At 52.2% G+C, this 19,789-nt stretch overlaps 1 protein-coding gene across 6 annotated transcripts, besides 9 other annotated features; it reads right to left on the minus strand.

Moving 5' to 3' along the window:
* On the minus strand, window positions 247-8,743 carry FOSL1 (FOS like 1, AP-1 transcription factor subunit). Of its 6 annotated transcripts, none has more exons than NM_001300855.2 (4): window positions 8,439-8,586; window positions 5,007-5,204; window positions 2,212-2,314; window positions 247-1,494 (listed from the first exon to the last, which is right to left on the minus strand). In NM_001300855.2, exons 1-4 carry the CDS (start codon window positions 8,535-8,537, stop codon window positions 1,487-1,489), a joined length of 408 nt encoding a protein of 135 aa, NP_001287784.1. In that variant the 5' UTR covers window positions 8,538-8,586; the 3' UTR covers window positions 247-1,486. The 6 variants fall into 6 exon arrangements, 5 of the variants coding, with proteins under 5 accessions (NP_001287784.1, NP_005429.1, NP_001287785.1 ...); NM_005438.5 differs by having other exon boundaries at window positions 2,212-2,319; NR_125339.2 differs by lacking the exons at window positions 5,007-5,204; window positions 8,439-8,586 and adding an exon at window positions 8,589-8,743 and having other exon boundaries at window positions 2,212-2,319.
* Window positions 282-331: an enhancer, noted in NCBI's record as "active region_5019". NCBI's record gives its function as "activates an Ori minimal core promoter by ATAC-STARR-seq in GM12878 lymphoblastoid cells {active_cell/tissue: GM12878}" and the evidence as "EXISTENCE:reporter gene assay evidence [ECO:0000049][PMID:35858748]".
* Window positions 372-531: an enhancer, noted in NCBI's record as "active region_5020". NCBI's record gives its function as "activates an Ori minimal core promoter by ATAC-STARR-seq in GM12878 lymphoblastoid cells {active_cell/tissue: GM12878}" and the evidence as "EXISTENCE:reporter gene assay evidence [ECO:0000049][PMID:35858748]".
* Window positions 1,816-2,320: an enhancer, noted in NCBI's record as "H3K4me1 hESC enhancer chr11:65661089-65661593 (GRCh37/hg19 assembly coordinates)". NCBI's record gives its function as "activates a minimal SCP1, AML or CMV promoter by ChIP-STARR-seq in primed H9 embryonic stem cells {active_cell/tissue: H9 hESC(primed)}" and the evidence as "EXISTENCE:reporter gene assay evidence [ECO:0000049][PMID:30033119]".
* Window positions 2,423-2,532: an enhancer, noted in NCBI's record as "active region_5021". NCBI's record gives its function as "activates an Ori minimal core promoter by ATAC-STARR-seq in GM12878 lymphoblastoid cells {active_cell/tissue: GM12878}" and the evidence as "EXISTENCE:reporter gene assay evidence [ECO:0000049][PMID:35858748]".
* Window positions 7,457-7,684: a silencer, noted in NCBI's record as "fragment chr11:65666730-65666957 (GRCh37/hg19 assembly coordinates)". NCBI's record gives its function as "represses an EF-1alpha promoter that drives an FKBP-Casp9 reporter gene in an ReSE screen in K562 erythroleukemia cells {active_cell/tissue: K562}" and the evidence as "EXISTENCE:reporter gene assay evidence [ECO:0000049][PMID:32094911]".
* Window positions 7,457-7,769: a biological region, named in NCBI's record as "ReSE screen-validated silencer GRCh37_chr11:65666730-65666957".
* Window positions 7,650-7,769: a silencer, noted in NCBI's record as "silent region_3566". NCBI's record gives its function as "represses an Ori minimal core promoter by ATAC-STARR-seq in GM12878 lymphoblastoid cells {active_cell/tissue: GM12878}" and the evidence as "EXISTENCE:reporter gene assay evidence [ECO:0000049][PMID:35858748]".
* Window positions 8,378-8,977: a silencer, noted in NCBI's record as "silent region_3567". NCBI's record gives its function as "represses an Ori minimal core promoter by ATAC-STARR-seq in GM12878 lymphoblastoid cells {active_cell/tissue: GM12878}" and the evidence as "EXISTENCE:reporter gene assay evidence [ECO:0000049][PMID:35858748]".
* Window positions 11,324-11,704: a transcriptional cis regulatory region, noted in NCBI's record as "candidate enhancer chr11.3338 targeted for multiplex CRISPR interference". NCBI's record gives its function as "positively regulates FOSL1 gene expression in K562 cells {active_cell/tissue: K562}" and the evidence as "EXISTENCE:mutant phenotype evidence [ECO:0000015][PMID:30612741]".

Raw genomic sequence — 19,789 nt, forward strand, 5'->3', positions numbered from 1 at the left:
TCGGGCGCCGGGACCGGCCTTAATCCAGCCCCTGAAGTGGCTCCAGCTCCCTTCCCGGCTCCTTCCTGTCCAAGACAATGGGGCAGGAAGCAGGTGCTGGGGGCCTAGAACCACTCGGCCGCCTCCTCTGAGGCTGGAAGGGGGCATAACAGCGCCCCTCCGTGGCACACGCAGCAGCACTGTGGGCCCCCACGGGGAGAGGGGCGGTAAGCCTCTTCGCTTTTACCCCAGAGGACTGTCTCCCCTCAGTCCCGGAGATGAGGCCGAGCGGATGTAGCCCCACTTGTCAGATAAGACAAAGTCCAAAAATATCAAAGAATTTGTCCAAGGTCATGCAGTGAGTCTGTAGAGCTAAGGCTGGGACCTAGGGCTCCAAATACTCTCCCATTGGCCTCTGGGTCCAGTGAGGCACTCAGGCCACAGCTTCAAGCCTTTTATTCCATTTTGGTAGGTTTGTATAAAAATACTCTCTTTAGGAAAATAAATAGCAGCTGCCCTCGCTGTGGAGGCTTGGATTCCCTGGAGCTGAAGGCTTCTCAAAGCTGAGATCCGCAGATCAGCTCATCACAGAAGCCAAGGGCGCCTCCTGAGCTGTGCGGTTCAGGAGGGGGCGGCAGAATGGCCTGGTCCAATCACCTGCTGCTGCTGGCAGTGGGGCTGGTGAGTTAGTGTTCTAGGTGGGTAAAGTGGCACCTTCTGTCAGGAGATAGGGTTGGGTGGATCACAGGAAGAGGGTGATGGAGAGTGTGGCAGTGATCTGGAAGGGGTTAGGGCTCCAGAGGACCTCTAAGGATCTACAAAGTCTCTGGGCTGCCAGGATTCCTCTGGCACAAATGGGAAATATTTTGTCTCTGATTTAGTGCAAATTGTGCTAGAGAGGCCAGCTCAAGAGAAACAGTGGGCAGCTTTGGTGGCCCCAAGCTGGCTCTACTGTGAAGCACAATATGGTCAGTCTCATTAGAGGGATGGAGAAGAAGTTGCTGGAGTTGGATGTGGGATACTGTCCAGGCCAGCTGGACCGGTGGGGGAAGGGGAGGAGACATTGGCTAGGGTGGCATCTGCAGGGAGTAGGGCTCAGGCGCCTCACAAAGCGAGGAGGGTTGGAGAGCCAAGGGGGTCAGAGGATGGGTCTCCGCTGCTGCTGCTACTCTTGCGATGAGCTGAGGCACAAGGCTCAGGAGTGCTGGGGTAGGTGAAGACCAGGCTGGGGGTGAAAGGAGTTAGGGAGGGTGTGGTCATGAGTGTGGGGGTGTGCAGTGCCTCAGGTTCAAGCACAGGCCCTGGGGAAAGGGAGATACAAGGTACAGGGCGGCAGGGGGCTGGTGGGCTGCTGGTGCCACTGGTACTGCCTGTGTCCCCCTCCTTGGCTCCTTCCGGGATTTTGCAGATGGGTCGGTGGGCTTCCAGCACCAGCTCTAGGCGCTCCTTCTGCTTCTGCAGCTCCTCAATCTCTCGCTGCAGCCCAGATTTCTCATCTTCCAGTTTGTCAGTCTCCTGTAGAAGATCAGGAGAGGAGTCAGAAAGGTGAGGGCTGAATACCCCAGAGCCGCAGACGTTTGGACTCAGGGTTCTGAGGAGCTGGGGTTGGGCGGGGGGAGAGGGGGGGCAGTGGAGAGTCCCCAGCAAGTCTGGACTACAACTCCCATAAGCCCCTGGGAGAAAATGGGCACAACTCCCATCAGGCCCAGACGTTTTAGGAGATTGCTGGCACCAGGCAGTGACTCCGGCCTGTAATCCCAGCACTTTGGGAGGCTGAGGCGGGCGGATCACTTGAGACCAGGAGTTTGAGACCAGCCTGGCTAACTTGGCGAAACCCCGTCTCTACTAAAAATACAAAAATTAGTCGGGTAGGGAGGCAGGCGCCTGTAGCCCCAGGTACTCAGCAGGCTGAGGCATAAGAATTGCTGGAGCCTGGGAGACAGATGTCACAGTGAGCCATGAGCCGAGATCTCATCACTGCACTCCAGCCTGGGTGACAGAGCGAGACTCTGTCTCAAAAAAAAAAGGAGATTGCTGGCTGAGCTTCAGCTCTGCTGTGAGTGAGACATGCTGCAGCCAGTTTCTAATCAATTTTTCCTCATCATTTTCCCAGAAGGACTGCCCCTCAGACAAGGAGCTAGGATGGTGAGGAGGGGGCTACATATACTGGGGCTCTGGGGGCTCTGGGAGACAGGGTCCCTCTGAGCTCGGTGGACCAGGGCTGGTGCTCACCGCCTGCAGGAAGTCGGTCAGTTCCTTCCTCCGGTTCCTGCACTTGGCCGCAGCCAGCTTGTTCCGCTCGCGCCTTACTCGGCGGCGCTCCTCTTCCTCCGGGCTGATCTGGGGGTGAGACCCGCAGTGAGGAGGACCCTGGGCTACTGGCTGCCTGGAACTCGCCCCTCATGGTGGCCCAGTGGTAGGACCCTGGCAGAGGTCATGGCAGGGCCCCCTCAGCCGGTGATTTAGGGATCACTGCACCCAACCAGTTCCCTGCACTGAGGCGCTGTCTGCTTTGATTGGTAAAATTTCCTCCTCGCACCTAGCTTTAGTGCACATTCCTCTCCCATAATGCCCTCCCCCTCCGCAAACCCTAACCCTCCTCATCTCCCAGGACTCAACTAAGATGCTCCTGCCTCCAGGAAGCCGTCTTATTCCCCAGCCAGAAGTGACCTTTCCTTCTCAGCACCCTCTTTGCAGGACCCTCATCCTTCTGGATCTGTGGACAACCAAGTCTCCTCTTCCATGAGCTGTAAGCACTAGGAGGGGCTAATGAGTGCTGCTGATTAAGTTGCAATTTATTGGAAAACTACTATGTGCCAGCCAAGTACTTTACGTAGATTCTTGTTTTTCACTGAGAACATGCAAAGATTTTATTTTATTTTATTTTATTTTTTTTAGACAGAGTCTCACTCTTTCCCAGGCTGGAGTGCATTGGCCCAATCTTGGCTCACTGCAACCTCCACCTACTGGGTTCAAGTGATTCTCGTGCCTCAGCCTCCCAAGTAGCTGGGATTACAGGCATGTACCACCACACCTGGCTAATTTTTGTATTTTTAGTAGAGACGAGGTTTCACCATGTTGGCCAGGCTGGTCTTGAACTCTTAACCTCAGGTGATCCACCCTCCTCAGCCTCCCAAAGTGCTGGGATTACAGGCATGAGCCACTGTGCTCGGCCTTTTTTTTTCTTTTTTTTTTTTGTGTAGTGACGGGGTCTCACTGTGTTGCCCAGGCTGGTCTGGAACTCATGGGCTCAAGGGATCCTCCTGCACTGGCCTCCTAGAATGTTTGGATTACCAGGGGGAGTCACCACAGCTGGCCTCTTTTTTAAAAAAACATAGATTCTTTTTTTTTTTTTTTTTTGAGACGGAGTCTCACTCTGTTGCCCAGGCTGGAGTGCAGTGGTGCCATCTCGGCTCACTGCAAGCTCCGCCTCCGGGGTTCACGCCATTCTCCTGCCTCAGCCTCCCGAGTAGCTGCGACTACAGGTGCCTTCCACCACGCCCAGCTAATTTTTTGTATTTTTTAGTAGAGACACGGTTTCATCATGTTAGCCAGGATGGTCTCGATCTCCTGACCTCATGATCCACCTTCCTTGGCCTCCCAAAGTGCTGGGATTACAGGCGTGAGCCACCATGCCTGGCCTTAAACTAGATTCTTAACGCAACTTTCCATGAAAAACTGAAGCCCAGAGAGGATAACTTACTTATGGTTCCAGAGCAGGACTTAGAACCCATAGAACTCACTCACTCTATTCCACATTGAGTGACAGGCCAGATGAGAGAGACCATTTCACCAAAAGGATCCAACTCACAGCTCACAGCCCTACCTGGAGAACCCAGGATCAAAGGGTCACCCTCAGGACCAGGCTGAAGGAAGGACGCACAGGAGGGTTTACCCCTGGCCCGCTTCTGCGGCTCATACCACAGTCCCTCCTCACCACAAAGGCCAGACATTCTGTTCTGGGAAACCTGTCTCTGGCTGATCTCTCACCTTTCCCAGGGCCCTAACCTCTCTCCCCATCCTCTACCTGCCGACCAAGCTTTTTAACCTCATCCCCTGTAGTCTCCCACACCAAAATGCCCCAGGGAGAGGAAAGATGAGCCACTCCTTTAAAGACTCGCCATCTCTTACTCACTTATTTTGGTAAGGGCTTTGGGGAGCCAAGAATTGTCAGTTCCCTCTACTTTGAGCCTTCTGTTAGCTTCCAGTGAGACAGCGTGGCTTGGTGATTAGTTTTGGGGGTTTTATTTTATTTTGTTTTTTCGGTAGAGACAGGGTCTCTCTATGTTGCCCAACCTAGTCTTGAACTCCTGGCCTCAAGTGATCCTCCTGCCTAGGTCTCTCAAAGTGCTGGGATTACAGGCATGAGCTACTGCACCTGGCCCTGGTTTGGTGGTTAGGATCTGACTTTAGAGTTGTATAGACCTGGGGCCAAGGCCAGTCCTGTGTCATTACTCACTACTTGTGTGATCTTGGGCAAGTGACTACCCTTCTGTGCCTTCATTTCTTTGGTGGAAGATGGGGAAAACCAGAGTACATTCCCCAGAGAGATTTTGTGAGGATTAAATGAGACAGGGAAACTGAGACTGAGGGAGTAGCTGAAGGGAACCCTCTTGTTCCTGTTCTCTCCCAGACAACATAAGCGCCCCCTCTATGCATGTCAGCAGGTGGAGACCCCCTCACCATTCCGTGTGCGCACCTTACATGTTCTTGCCTCCGCCTCCATCCTTGCTCCTGCCACCCCCGCTACCTGGAATGTCCTTTCCTTCCTCTCTGCCTCTGCCAGTCCTACCCATCCTTCTAGGCTAATATGCCACCTTTTCCAGGAAGCTTTCCCTGATCTGGAAGTGACTGTTGTACCCTCTGGGCCTCCCGTGGGGCTCCTATCACTTTCAGCCTTGGGCAGTAGTCACCTGTAGCCTACCTTACCCCCTCCTAAGCCTGTGCTCTCCTTTCTGGCAGGAGCTTCTCTGCACCCTAGCACTCCTGGGCGGGGTCGGAACCACTGCAATGCCTCTGTGCCTTACCTGTTCACAAGGCCTTCGACGTACCCCTGGAGGCGGCCCCAGGGCCCGGATGACTCCTGGCCGGGGTTGTGGGGGGCTGTACTGAGGGTAGGTCAGAGGCCTGGGGTAACTGCTGGGCCCCAGGAAATGAGGCTGTACCATCCACTGCAGCTCCTGACTGCCACTCATGGTGTTGATGCTTGGCACCAGGTGGAACTTCTAAGGAATAAGAAATGGAAGGCCACAGATGAGGTCCGTGTGGATTGAGGGGCTTCCACTGGGCAGAGGCTACACTGCTGTCTACCTTCAATGTACAGGCTAGCTCTGGGAACAGAAAGAGCACAGCTTGGCAGTCAGAGACTGACCTGGTGGCAAATCCCTGCTCATAAGCTGTGTGGCTTTGGGGCAGGTCACATAACCTCTCTGTGCCCCCATTTCCCCATTAGAACTAACATTTATAAAGCACAAACTGCCAGGAACTGTTCTAACCACTTTACAAATACTGACTCATATCATTGGCACAGTAATATCTTCATTTTCTTTTCTTTCTTTTTTTTCTTTTTTTTTTTTCAGATGGAGTCTCACTCTGTTGCCCAGGCTGGAGTGTAGTGGCACGATCTCAGCTCACTGCAACCTGCGCCTCCCAGGTTCGAGTGATCCTCCTGCCCCAGCCTCCTGAGTAGCTGGGATTATAGGCGTGCACCACCATGCCCGGCTAATTTTTGTATTTGTGGTAGAGACAGGGTTTCACCATGTTTGCCAGGCTGGTCTCCAGCTCCCAACCTCAGGTGATCCACCCGCCTCGGCCTCCCAAAGTGCTGGGATTACAGGCGTGAACCACAGCGCCCAGCCTAGTATCTTCATTTTCAGACGGGAGAACAGTTGTCCGCAGACACAGAGCCAATGAGCCCAGCAGCTGGGCTCTTACCCACTCCTGCACCCGTTTGCACGAAGAGGATAATTACAGCTCCCAGCTCAAGGGGAGGCTGTGAGAATCAGGTGAGAGAATGTGTGCGACAGTCTGGTAAGTGGCAGGTGCCCAGTGCAGAGGGGCTGAGGCAGGAAAGAGTCACTGCTCTGGGTTCAGGCCATTCCATTGCTTTTTTTTTTTTTTTTCTTGAGACAGGGTCTCACTCTTTCACCCAGGTTGGAGTGCAGTGACCTGCGGGCTCAAGCAATCCTCCCACCTCAGCCTCCCAAGTAGCTGGGACTACCGACGTGCACCACCACATTTGGCTAATTTTTTTTTTCTTTTCTGTTTTTTTTTTTTTGAGACACAGTCTTGCTTTGTCACCCAGGTTGGAGTGCAGTAGCCCGATCTCGCCTCACTGCAACCTCCACCTCCTGGATTCAAGCAATTCTCCTGCCTCAGCCTCCCGAGTAGCTGGGACTACAGGCGCCCACAACTGTGCCCGGCTAATTTTTGTATTTTTAGTAGAGACAGGGTTTCACTATGTTGGCCAGGCTGGTCTTGAACTCCTGACCTCTGGTGATCCACCCGCCTTGGCCTCCCACAGTGCTGGGATTATAGGCATGAGGCACCGCGCACGGCCTGGCTAATTTTTTTTAAATTTTTTTGTAGAGACAGGGTCTCACTAGGTTGCCCAGGGTGGTCTCAAATTCCTGAGCTGAAGCAGTCCACCCACCTCAGCCTCCCAAAGTGTTGAGATGACAGGCTTTAGCCACCTGGCATGGCAGGCTGTCCCAATTCTAATCTCAGCTCTCAGCTACTTACTGGCTGTGTGACCATGGGCAAGTTATTTAACCTCCATGTGCCTCAGTTTCCTCATTTTTAATATTGTTACAGGTGAGGATTACAGGATTTCACTGATGTTAAGAAGTACCCTTTAATAGCTCTGAAATCATAGTTTAATTGGCAATTTAAAAAATTTTAGTGGACTAGGCATGGTGGCTCATACCCAGCACTTTGGGAGGCTGAGGTAGAAGGATCACTTGAGCTCAGGAGTTTGAGGTCACACCGGGCAACACAGTGAGACTTCATTTCTACAAAAAAATTAAAAAATTAGTTGGGTGTGGTGGTGCGTGCCTGTGGCCAGGTCGCTTCCCAGCTAGGATCTCAGTAGGATTGCTTGAGCCCAGGAGGCTGAGGCTGCAGTGAGCTGTGATTGCACCACTGCTCTATAGTCTGGGCAACAGAGGGAGACCCTGTCTCAGAAAAAAAAAAAAAAAGAAAAGAAAGAGAAGGAAAGAAAATTAGTGGCATAAAGTTATAGTGGGTTTTTTTTTCAATCGATGAGGTCTTCGATTCCGTGAAATATGGTAAATGATGTAGCAAGCGCCCAGCACAACGTCCCTGTTCCCATTCTATCAGCCAGCTATCTGAGGAGTGGGTTGGGATGGGGCTCAGTGTTCTGGGAGAAGTGGGTTCTAGCTCTGCCGCTGGGCCCTGGGTGTGGGCGCCCAATCGTCCGGGAAGCGCCCACAAGCCCAGGCAAGTCCCGACAGCGGTAGCCCGAGCCCAAGCGCTGCGGGCCCGGCGTCCCAGTGACCCCAGTTCCGGGTCCGAGGCACCGCCGGCGGCATCTCCCACTCCCGGGCCCGGGCCGCTCCAGGCCAGGAAGGGAGGGACGCCCCGGGTGACTCAGCCGCCGTGACTCGGCCGCCGTGACTCGGCGGAACGGACGCCCCTCCTTCCCTCCCCTGTCGACACGTGCTCGCAGCCCCTCGACAGGAAATGGGCACCTGCAGCCTCCCGGGTGCCCCCCGGCGGGCAGCGGGCGCCGTTAGGGGCTGAGAGTGGGGTCGCGAGAGTCGCCCGCAGCCTGACCCCGCGCACGTCCCGGAACCTCGAGGTCTCTATTCGCCGCATTCGGCAAAGGGATCGAGGGCCGGTCTCCGGGGACCTGGCAGGTTCCACTGCCCGGACCCCCCTGGACTCCCCAGGCCGAGAAACGATAGGGACTTGGCGACGGAGGGGCGAAGGACAGACAGACGGACGGACACGCGGAGGGTCGCAGACCGGGCCGGGACTCCCACCCTGGCCCAGCTGCTCTCCCGACGGATCCCGCCTCCCTCCCGTGTGGGGACCCTCACCCCAGCCCAGACTCCAGATCCCAGGAATTCAGCCCGAAGCGGAGAGACCCTCCTAGCCTTCGAGGCGACCACCCTAGGCGCCCACGCCCCTTCTGAAGCAGGGTGGACGCAGAAGTCAGAGGTGGGCAGGAGGAGAGAAAGCGGGCACGGAGACGGAGGGACGGACGCGGACGGCGAGGGAGAAGGGGGCGGCTGGGAGAAGGGGAGTTCGCGGGTCTCTGCTGCCCGCTGCGCGGTGGGGGCAACTGGCCCCGGACGGCGAGGGGCAGGATCCTCGCCCCAGCCCCCAGCCCGGCCCCGACTCCGGTTCCCCGCTCCAGTCCCGGAGCGTGCGGGAGTTGACCCCGGCCTCCCACGCGCGGTCCTCCCGTGGGACCACCGGCGTCGGGCCCCACTCACCTGCTGGGCTGCCTGCGCTGCGGCCGGGGGCTGCGCGGGGCCGCCGTACCCGCCGCCGTTCCCGGAGCTCGGGCCGGGTTCCCCGAAGTCTCGGAACATGCCCGGGGCTGGCGGCTCTGCGGGGTACACGGCTGCTGGGTTCTGACTCACCCGCGCCGTGCGGAGTCTTTTCTTTTTATGAATGAAAAGTTCTCGGGCTGAACCACTGCGACCGCGGGGGGTGGGGGCGTTGCAGCGGCGCGGTCACCTCCAGGCTCCACCCCCGAGACGCGCCGCCTTGGCCCGTCGGTCCCGAACTTGGCGACGCCTCCCCAAGTCCGGCTGCAGCCTTTTCACCGGGATGGGCCCGGCTCGGCGTTCCCCGGAGGCTGCGGGCCCGCCCCCCTGACGTAGCTGCCCATACATGGTGTAACTTCCTCGCCGCGCCCAGGTGGAGCCCCGGGTTCCCCTGCGGACTGACGCACCTGCCAGAGCCCGCGCCCCGCCCCAGCCCTCTCGAGGCCTGGGCTAACCTCCGTTTCTGCTCCCACAAAATAGCACGAAAGAATCACATCTCTAGGAGCCACGCCAACCGCCACCCAAAGCTTCGTGGAGTGAGGTCTTTCCACTGGCCTTGTTTTAAGGCTTCGAGTATATGAAAAGTGAATAAATGACAAACCAGGGTTACAAAAATGGTGGCATATTTTATTTTACTTTATATTTTTGAGACCGGGTCTCTGTCACCCAGGCTGGAGTGCAGTGGCTCGATCTCGGCGCACTGCAGGCTCAACTTCCTGAGCTAAAGGGATTCTCCTGCCTCAGCGCCCCCTCCAAGTAAGTGGGACTACAGGCGCGCGTCACCACACCCAGGTAATTTTTGTGTTTTTTGTAGGGATTGGGTCTCGCCGTATTGCCCAGGCTGGGTGGTATATTTTAAATGTTTGCGATAAGGTAATGCTTTGAACTAACCCCACATAAAATGCAATATAATAGTATTACTCAGGATAATTTCAGGAGCTATAACGAGTTTTAATTCAGGGCCACTACAGGTGTCCTGAGGTCTGATAAACGCCATCTTCATTACGGTCAGTGCCTTTCGGAGGCTTGTGGCCACCAGACTTGTTTGGAGAGTATGTCAAAGGTGAGTGAATGTGAGGCAGGTATCATCCTCATCTCTGTTTTACAGATGGGGAAACTGAGGCTGGGAGATGCTGAAATGAATTGCTTGAAGTCGCTAAGTGAGTAGCTGGCACAGGTTGCCAAGTCACAGCCGTGGGCACTCCAAGCCCAGGCTCAGCCAAGATTTTCAAAGCCCTTACACCTTCACAGACACCTTGTCGCACATCCAGAATGTTAGTGCTGGGCACCATCCCAAAGCTTCTCTCTGATTACTTCCATCATAGATGAGGAAACTGAGGCCCAGATGGAGTACTGAGCTGTCAGTTGTCACACGACTACAGAAAGAGGGCTGGGGCCAGGTGTGGTGGCTCATGCTTGTAATCCTAGCACTTTGGAAGGCCAAGGCAGAAAGAACCATTTGAGACCCCATCTCTACAAAAAATTATAAAATTTTCTGGACATGGTGGTACGCCTGCCTTGTGGTCCCAGCTGTTCTGGAGGCTGAGGCGGGAGGATGGCTTAAGCCAGGGAGGTTGAGGCTGCGGTGAGCTGTGACTGCGCCACTGCAGTCCAGCCTGGGGGACAGAGCAAGACTCAAAGTAAATAGATCAAGAGAGGGCTGGGCTCTCCTGCTTCTCCATCGGTCCTTCCATTTCATCAGCTCTAGCTTTGCCCTCTGGGCTACTTTCCTTGGGAACACAGGCCAGAAGCCTGTGGGTGCACTCAGGACTTAGAGCCAGGAAGTCCAGATTGCCCCTGGGGTTCTAGTCCCAGAGCTACCATTTTCTGTCTGTGTGACACTGGGCAGGTCACCTTCCTTCAACTGGGCCTCCCTGCTGATCTCACAGAGCTGTTGTGGGATCAAGTGAGATCACAGATGTGAAAATGCTTTGTAAGCTATAAAGTGTTATGCACTCAGAAAGTGGTTACCAGCCTGGTGCCTCTCCTTTGCCTTTGAGCGACCCAATGCTTGTCACCCTCTTGTCATCATCATCTCTGTGTGTGTGTGTGTGTGTGTGTGTGAGAGAGAGAGAGAGAGAGAGAGAAAGAGAGAGAGAAAGGAGAGGAGAGTGTTTTTGAGGCAGTATGATCCGTGGACAGAACACCCGTGCTGGGGTCAGACAGCTCTGGGGTCTGGGTTTGAATGTGGTTAGGCTGCTCACCAGTTGTGTGACCTAGGTGAGGCACACAATCTCTCAGAGCCTCTTTCATTATCTGTGAAATGGAGACATAATGATAACTATCTCAAGGGTTGTTGGAGGACACAAGTAATGTCACATGCTTAGCACAGCACATAGTAAGAATTTGACACATAGGCTGGGTGCCGTGGCTCACGCCTGTAATCCCAGCACTTTGGGAGGCTGAGGCAGGTGGATCACGAGGTCAGGATTTCGAGACCAGCCTGACTAACATGGAGAAACCCCGTCTTTACCAAAAATACAAAAGTTAGCTGGGCATGGTGGCCCATGCCTGTAGTCCCAGCTGCTTGGGAGGCTGAGGCAGGAGAATCGCTTGAACCCGGGAGGCGGAGGTTGCAGTGAGCCAAGATTGCGCCATTGCACTCCAGCATGGGCAACAGAGTAAGACTCCGTCAAAAAACAAAACAAAACAAAACAACCCAGGGGTGAGAGCCTTTGGGACTGATCACACATGAAGGCACTCACACAGCACATGTGCACACACACTGATACCTCAACTTCTTGGCAGAGCCCAAGCTGGACAGGTCAAGTGTGACACAGGTAACCAGGGGAGGGGTGACACAGGTCAGCCTTGACTGCATTCACTTGCCTGCTCCAGAAACATCACCCTGCACCTGACCCCACCGCCCCCAAGCAGTGGATGCTGGGGCCACTGGGGCAGCTGAGGGAGCAGGGATTCAGGTCTGGGGTGTGTGTGTGTGTGTTACATGACTTTGAAAGTCTCTTCCTGCTCTAACCGTCACTGGAGCCACAAGGAGGTCCTTTCAGAGGGAGCACATTCCAACCTCCTCAGTCACTAACCCCCGCCTTGTGGCTGCAGAAACGTTCCTGGCCTCTGACCTCACCAGCTTCCACCCAGGGAGGCCAGGAGAGAACCCCAGGGGGCCACAGCCATCGCTGGAAGTTTGGGGGCAGGGAGGCCTGAGGGACCCTGCCACTGTGCCTTGGTGGCTCTGTAAGACTGGCTCAGTCCCTTCCCATCTCTGAGCCCCAGAGAATCCCTGCCTTTTGGGGCTGCAGTGAAGGAGAGGAGGCTTGGCACCCTGTGCATTCTCAGCATGGCCAGGGCATTGGAGGTGATATTTATGTTTATCAGTTTCTATTCACTCTTTAATTGAAGTCTATGTTGTTTTTGTTTGTTTGTTTGTTTGTTTGGTTTGAGATAGGATCTCACTCTGATGCCTAGATGCCTAGGCTGGAGTGCAATGGCAGGATCGCAGCTCACTGCAGCCTCAACCTTCTGGGCTGAAGCGATCCTCCCTCCTCAGTCTCCCGAGTAGCTGGGGCTACAGGCGCGTGCCACTACGCCCAGCTAATTTTTTTTGGCTCAAGCAATCTGCCTGCCTCGGTCTCACAAAGTGCTAGGATTACAGGTGTGAGCCACCGCACCTGGCCTTTGAAGTTTACATTTTTACTTGAGATTAAATTCATGTAACAAACAATTAACTACTTTAAAGTGTACACTTCAATGCCATTTATTACATTCACAATGTTGTACAACCACCACCTTTCTTTAGTTTCAAAACTTCATCACTCCAGAAAACACCCCACACCTATGAAGTAATTACTCCCTATTTCCCCCTTCCCTCATCCCCTGGTATCCACTAATTTGCTTCCTGTCGCTATGGATTTGCCCATTCTGGGCATTTCAAATAAATGGACTCATTCATATATTATGTGGTCTTTTGTCTGACTTCTTTACTTAGCATAACATTTTTGCTTTTTTTTTCTTTCTTTCTTCTTCTTCTTTTTTTTTTTTTTTTAGATGGAGTCTTGCTGTTGCCCATACTGGAGTGCAGTGGCCCAATCTTGGCTCACCGCAGCCTCGGCCTCCTGCACTCCTCAAGTGATCCTCCTGCCTCAGCCTCCCAAACTGCTGGGATTCCAGGTGTGAGCCACCGCACTGGGCCAGCATAACATTTTCTTTTCTTAGTATTATTATTTTTTTTAAAAACGGAGTTTCGCACTGTGGCCCAGGCTGGAATGCAGTGGCATGATCTCTGCTCACTGCAAGCTCCACCTCCTGGGTTCACAGCATAACATTTTCAAGGCTCATTCATGTTATAGTATGTATCAGTACTTTGCTCATTTCTATGGCTGAGTATATATAACCATTTATTTATTTATTTTTGAGATGGAGTCTTGCTCTGTCGCCCAGGCTGGAGTGCAGTGGCGCGATCTCCGCTCACTGCAAGCTCCGCCTCCCGGGTTCACGCCATTCTCCTTCCTCAGCCTCCTGAGTAGCTGGGACTACAGGCGCCTGCCACCACGCCCGGCTAATTTTTTGTACTTTTAGTAGAGAAGGGGTTTCACTGTGTTAGCCAAGATGCTCTCGATCTCTTGACCTTGTGATCCGCCTGCCTTGGCCTCCCAAAGTGCTGGGATTACAGGCATGAGCCACCGCGCTGGGCGTTTTTTGGACAGATATCTATTCAAATCTTTACTTTTTTTTTTTTTTTTTGTAGAAATGAGGTCTCAATATATTGCCCAGGCTAGTCTCAAATTCCTGGCCTCAAGTACTTCTCCTGCCTTCACCTCTCTTCACGCTGAAATGACAGGTGTGAGCCACTGCTCCCAACCATTGCCCAGACTGGAGTGCAGTGGTACGATCTTGGCTCACTGCAGCCTCCACCTCCTGGGTTCAATTGAGTCTCCTGCCTCAGTTTCCCAAGTAGCTGGGATTACAGGCATGTGCCACCATGCCCGGGTAATTTTTGTACTTTTAGTAGAGACAGGGTTTCACCATGCTGGCCAGGCTGGTCTCTAACCCCTGACCTCAAGTGATCCTCCCACCTCAGCCTCCCAAAGTGCTGGGATTATAGGCGCCCGCCACCACACCTGGCACATTGCCCATTCTTAATTTTTTTTCTTTTTTTGAGATGGAGTTTTGCTCTTGTCACCCAGGCTGGAGTACAATGGTGCAATCTCAGCTCACCACAATCTCCGCCTCCCTGGTTCAAGCGATTCTCCTGCCTCAGCCTCCTGAGTAGCTGGGATTACAGTCACGCGCCACCACACCTGGCTAATTTTGTATTTTTAGTAGAGACAAGGTTTCTCCATGTTGGACAGGCTGGTCTCGAACTCTCAACCTCAGGTGATCCAACCGCCTCAGCCTCCCAAAGTGCTGGGTTTACAGGCGTGAGCCACTGCGCCTGGCCAATTTTTTTTTTTTTTAATGTTGAGTTGTTCTTTTTATATTCTGGATACTAAACCTTTATCAGTTATATGATTTGCAAACATTTTCTTTTATTCTGTAGGTTGTCTTTTCACATTCTTGAAAATGTTCTCTTTTTTTTTTTGGAGACGGAAAAATGTTCTCTGATGCACAAAATGATGCATTACTATTTTTTATTGAAGCCCAATGTATCTTTTTGTTGTTGTTGCTCATGCTTTGGGTGTCTAATGTAAAAATCCATTGCCAAATTCGAGGTCATGAAGATTTACTCCTATGATTTCTTCTAAGAGTTTATAGTTTTAGCTCTTAGATTTAAATTGTTGACTAAATTGAAGTCAAGCACACATACAGTAAAGTGCACACATCAGTGTGTTCAGCTTAATGACTTTAAAATAATTCATTATTTTTTATTATTATTATTTTGAGACGCAGTCTTGCTCTGTTGCCCAGGCTAGAGTGCAGTGGCATGATCTCAGCTCACTGCAACCTCCGCCTCCCGGGTTCAATAAATACTCTTGTCTCAGCCTCCTGAGTAGCTGGGACTACAGGCATGCGCCACCACACCCGGCTAATTTTTGCATTTTTAGTAGAGATGGGGTTTCACCTTATTGGTCAAGCTGGTCTCTAACTCCTGACCTCAGGTGATCTACCTGCCTCAGCCTCCCAAAGTGCTGGGATTACAGGTGTGAGCCTCCGCACCCCGCCTTATTTATTATTATTTTTAAGACAAGGTCTCACTCTATCTCCCAGGCTGGAGCACAGTGGTGCAATCATAGCTAACTGCAACCTTGTACTCCTGGGCTCAAGCTATCCCCTAACCTCAGCCTCCCAAGTAGCTGGGACTACAGGTCTGCCACCATGCCAATTATTTATTTATTTATTTATTAGTAGAGAGGAGGCTGTTGCCCAAGCTAATCTCAAACTCCTGAGCTTAAGTGATCCTCCCGCCTCCGTCTCTCAAAGTATTGGGATTACAAGTATGAACCACCAAGCCCAGCCTCAATGACTTCTGCATCTATATAAACCCATGTAACTACCACCCTTATCATGATGATGTTTTTAGCAACTCGGAAGGCTCCTCTGAGTCACACTCCCCACCCATAAGTAGCCACTATTCTGACTTCTGTCATCATAGATTAGTTTTGCCTGTTCTTCAACTTCATATACATTTGACCATATGGCACGTTCTCTTTTGGTCCTGGCTTCTTTTAGTCAACATGTCTGCGGGATTCATCTGTGTTACTGAGTGACCTGGTAGCTTGGTCTTTTCTGTTGCTGCATCCCATTGCACAAATATTCCACAATCGGTCTCTCCATTCTCCATTCCCCTGCTGATGACTTGGGGGGCCTTCCAGTTTTGGACTATTATGAATAAGGCTGCCATGAATATCCTTGATACATCCTTTTGGGAGCCAGTTGTATTCATTTCTCTTGGCTATGTGCCTGGGTTGGGAGGAATTATTGGGTCATATGGTTGGTGTACATTCAGCTTGAATCGAATGTACTCTCCACCAGTGCTCCAACATGGATGTACCATTTTGCATCCCACCCATGTTGTTCAATGGGTAACAGTTCCAGTTGCTCCACATCTGGAGATGACTTTTTTTTTTTTTTTTTTTGAAACAGGGTCTTGCTCTGTCACCCAGGCTGGAGGGCAGTGGTGTGATCTCAGCTTACTACAACCTCTGCCCCCCAGGCTCAAATGATTCTCCTGCCTCAGCCTCCCAAGTAGCTGGGACTACAGGCGCCTGCCACAATGGCCATCTAATTTTTGTATTTTGTGGAGACGGGGTTTCATCATGTTGGGCAGGCTGGTCTCGAACTCCTGACCTCAGGTCATCCGCCCACCCTGGCCTCCCAAAGTGCTGGGATTATAGGCATGAGCCATGGCACCTGACCTGGAGATGGCATTTTAATTCACTTCTACAAACATTTATTTTCCTTGGTCCTGGCCCCTTCCTCTCTCCCCTGAATGCTCTCCACAGCTTCCAGCTCAGCACTTCCCACCCTGCAGCCTTAGGGATAGTTTTAATCACAAAAAATTTTAAGAGTCTGAGCATTTCACCCTCAGACTTGGACCTACCCCAGCTGGAATTGCTACCCAGGAAGGCCTGAAGCCTGGGAAGGGATGGGCTAAGGGTGCTTGGCGTACCCTGTGTTCTTTTAGGTTACGTGCTGCCTGGGAGACTTGAGGGGCTAAGAGGATAACACTAGTGGCTCTTGCTCATTGAACACTGATGAACCAGATGCCATTCCAAGTAACATGTTTAATCCTCACAGCAACCCTGTGAGAGAGATGGTATAATACACCCATTTTATGGATCAGGAAATGGAAGCACAGAGAGATTAAGCAACTTGCTAAAAGCCACACAGTGAGGAAGGAAAGTGTGCGGAATCCAGATCCTCGTAAATCTGGCGGGGCTTGGCCGAATGCACAGGATTTTCCTTCATAGGCACCTGCTCACTCTCAGTCCCAGGCTGCCAGACGGAGCCCCTCACCTTTGCACAGATGGCTCCCTCTGCCCAAGGGACCTCCCTTGTCCCCTCACCTGGCTGACTCTTATGCTGCAGCTTTCAGTTTCCCCACCATTTCCTCAGCAAGGTCTTCTGCGAGCCCCAACCCAAGTGAAATCCCTTAATCCCTTATGCAATGAGCAATACAGTCCCCTCGTGCAATGAAGGACATTACCTTTTATTCTCCCTGCTTGGAATAATGTTTGAAGGTATTGCATTTTGGAGACGGATATGCGTGTATCTATATGTATATCTGTATCTGCATCTACCAAGTTGATGGCCATAAAAAGGGGATGTGGAAAATAAATTATTTTATTTTATCATATTTTATTTATTTATTATTTGAGATGAAGTCTTGCTCTGTCGCCCAGGCTAGAGAGCAGTGGTGCGATTTTGACTTACTACAACCTCTTCCTCCTGGGTTCAAGCAGTTCTCCTGCCTCAGCTTCCTGAGTAGCTGGGACTGCAGGCACCTGCCACCATGCCCGGATACTTTTTTGTATTTTAGTAGAGACAGGGTTTCACCATGTTGCCCACGGTGGTCTTGAACTCGTGAGCTCAGGCAATCAGCCCACCTTGACCTCCCAAACTGCTAGGATTATAGGAGTGAGCCACCACACCTGGCCTGGAGAAGAAATTATTTTAAAACGTCGTTTTTATTTTTTATGTTGCTTTACACTAAAACATTTAATTGCATTTCTTTTTCGACCAGGTAATACATTAAGATATTTTAAAATTCAAAAGCTACAAAAGGGGTAGAGTGAGAAGCCTCCCCTCCACTGTAACCAGTTTCTTGCGTATTTTTTCACCCAGAAGGTAGCCTATCTACATCCCGTATCGTTTCTTGCTTTTTGGTTTTCTAATAATAATCTTGGAAGATCTTTCACTGAGTATATGTAGATCTGCCTCGCTGGAAAGAAAAATCTAGCTGAGCACTGTGGCACACGCTTATAATCCTAGCACTTCGAGAGGCTAAGGCAGGAGGATCACTTAAGCCCAGGAGTTGGAAGCTGCAGTGAGCTGTGATCAGACCACTGCACTCCAGCCTGGGCAACAGAGTGAGAGCCTGTCTCACGAAAACGAAAACAAAAGCTACCTCGTCGTGGTTTATCTTACATTCGGTAGAATGCACACTTTGTTAATGTGCTGGTTATGTGTATACACCTGCGTAGCCACGTTCCAATCCAGATACAGAACATTTCCATCCCCCTAGAAAGTTCTCTCCTGCCTCTTTGCAGTCGATTCCCCCACCCCAGGAAATCACTTAACTCATTTCTGTTGTCATCGATTACTTTTGTCTGTTGCAGAATTTCACATCAATGGAATCGTTCACCGCGTGCTCTTTTGTGCCTGGCTTCTGTCCCCCACTGCATGGATGTACCACAGTTTCTTTATCCATTCTTCTGAATTAACTGAACTAAAAGTTGAATGGAGCCAGATGTCGGGGAGGTAGGGACGATTAAAGACTTAGTCCCAGGCGCGTGGTGGCGGGTGCCTGTAGTTCCAGCTACTCGGGAGGCTGAGGCAGGAGAATGGTGTGAACACGGGAAGTGGAGCTTGCAGTGAGCCAAGATCGTGCCACTGCACTCCAGCCTGGGTGACAGAGCAAAACTCTGTCTCAAAAAAAAAAAAAAAGACTTGGTCCCAGGCCAGGGGTGGTGTCTCATGCCTGTAATCCCAGCACTTTGGGAGGCCAAAGGGGGCAGATCACCGGAGGTCAGGAGTTCAAGACCAGCCTGGTCAACATGGTGAAACCCTGTCCCTACTAAAAATACAAACATTAGCTGGGTGTGGTGGTGCACTCCTGTAATCCCAGCTACTTGAGATGCTGAGGCAGGAGAATCACTTGAACCCGGGAGGCAGAGGTTGCAGTGAGCTGAGATCGCGCCATTGCACTCCAGCCTGGCCAATAGAGTGAGACTCCGACTCCAGAAAAACAAAAAACAAAAAAACCCCAGCAACTTCGTCCTCCTGGCCGCAAGGCACTTTCAGCCCAGAGAGGTGGTCAGACACTCAGACTAGTCCTGGTGCTAAGGAGACAGTGCTGGGGGGAGGAGCCAGAGAGTGCCAGGGCCATTACTGGAGCCCCAAAAGGAAGAGTTCTTTCCACCTGTGGTGGGGGTGGGTAGGAGAAGACTTCCTGGCAGACGAGGATTTGGGAAAAATATTCATAAAAAGTGGGGCTCGCTTTCCCTCACCAGCCACCCCTCCAGCCCAGGACTGTGGGGTGAACATCAAAGACACAGCTCCAGCCTGGCTGGGTCTCTAGTAGTTCAAGTGACTTCATTATGTGACTTCGGGTCAGTCTCTTTCCCTCTGGGAGCCTCAGTTTCCCCTTCCTGCAGATGAGTGGTTTACATACTGTGGACCCTGAAACTAGAGGTTTCCATGGAGATGGCAGGGGCCGGGATGAGGTTTTGGGCCCCTCATCCTTGCTTCAGTAAGCATCACTCAGCAGGCAGGAGGGGATCTGGCAGTGGACGACTTGGGTTTGAATTTCAGTTCAGCCACTTCCTGGCTGGGCAAGCTGGGCAATTCCCTAACTTCTCAATGCCTCAGTTCCCTCACTTGTAAAGAGGATGCTGGCCAGGCGCAGTGGCTCACGCCTGTAATTCCAGCACTTTGGGAGGCTGAGGCAGGTGGATCACCTGAGGTCAGGAGTTCAAGACCAGCCTGACTAGCATGGAGAAACCCTGTGTCTACTAAAAATACAAACTTAGCCGGGCATGGTGGTGAATGCCTGTAATCCCAGCTACTCGAGAGGCTGAGGCAGGAGAATTGCTTGAACCTGGGAGGCAGAGGTTGTGGTGAGCCAAGATCGTGCCATTGCACTCCAGCCTGGGCAACAAGAGCGAAACTCCGTCTCAAAAGAAAAAAAAAAGATGCTAATAATCGGACCTGCTTTTCACGGTTGCTGGGGAGTGACTGAGCCATGGCATGGACAGTGCTGAGCATGGCACCAGTACAGTAAGCGATGGATAAATGTTAGTGAGAATTTTCTTGCTGTTTTATTTTGTGCTTTACGGGCAATTTCCTCTGAAGGGAGATATCAGGGGCTCTGCTGTCAGTGCCCAGGATGGATTTGCCTGCTTAGCCTGGCCCCTTAAGTTTCTTGGAGTGGCTCCTGCTTCCTGCAGACCCAGGCTCAGACAGTTGGAGCCTGTCACCCAGTTCTCAGGCTCCCCCTAACTCCTCAGACCTGGGCCATACCCCGACCCAGTACCCCATGGGTGCCAGCTCCTGCTCTGGGCCAGGAGTGGGATGAAACGCCCGTCCTGGATGAAAGGCTGGCAGGCCTGGGCTGGGCCAATAAACCACCCCACCCATCCTGGGAGGACCTCCGGGCACCGGTGTAAACTGAGTCA

The sequence above is a fragment of the Homo sapiens genome, chromosome 11 (genome assembly GCF_000001405.40).
Source record: "Homo sapiens chromosome 11, GRCh38.p14 Primary Assembly".
Lineage (NCBI taxonomy): Eukaryota > Metazoa > Chordata > Mammalia > Primates > Hominidae > Homo > Homo sapiens.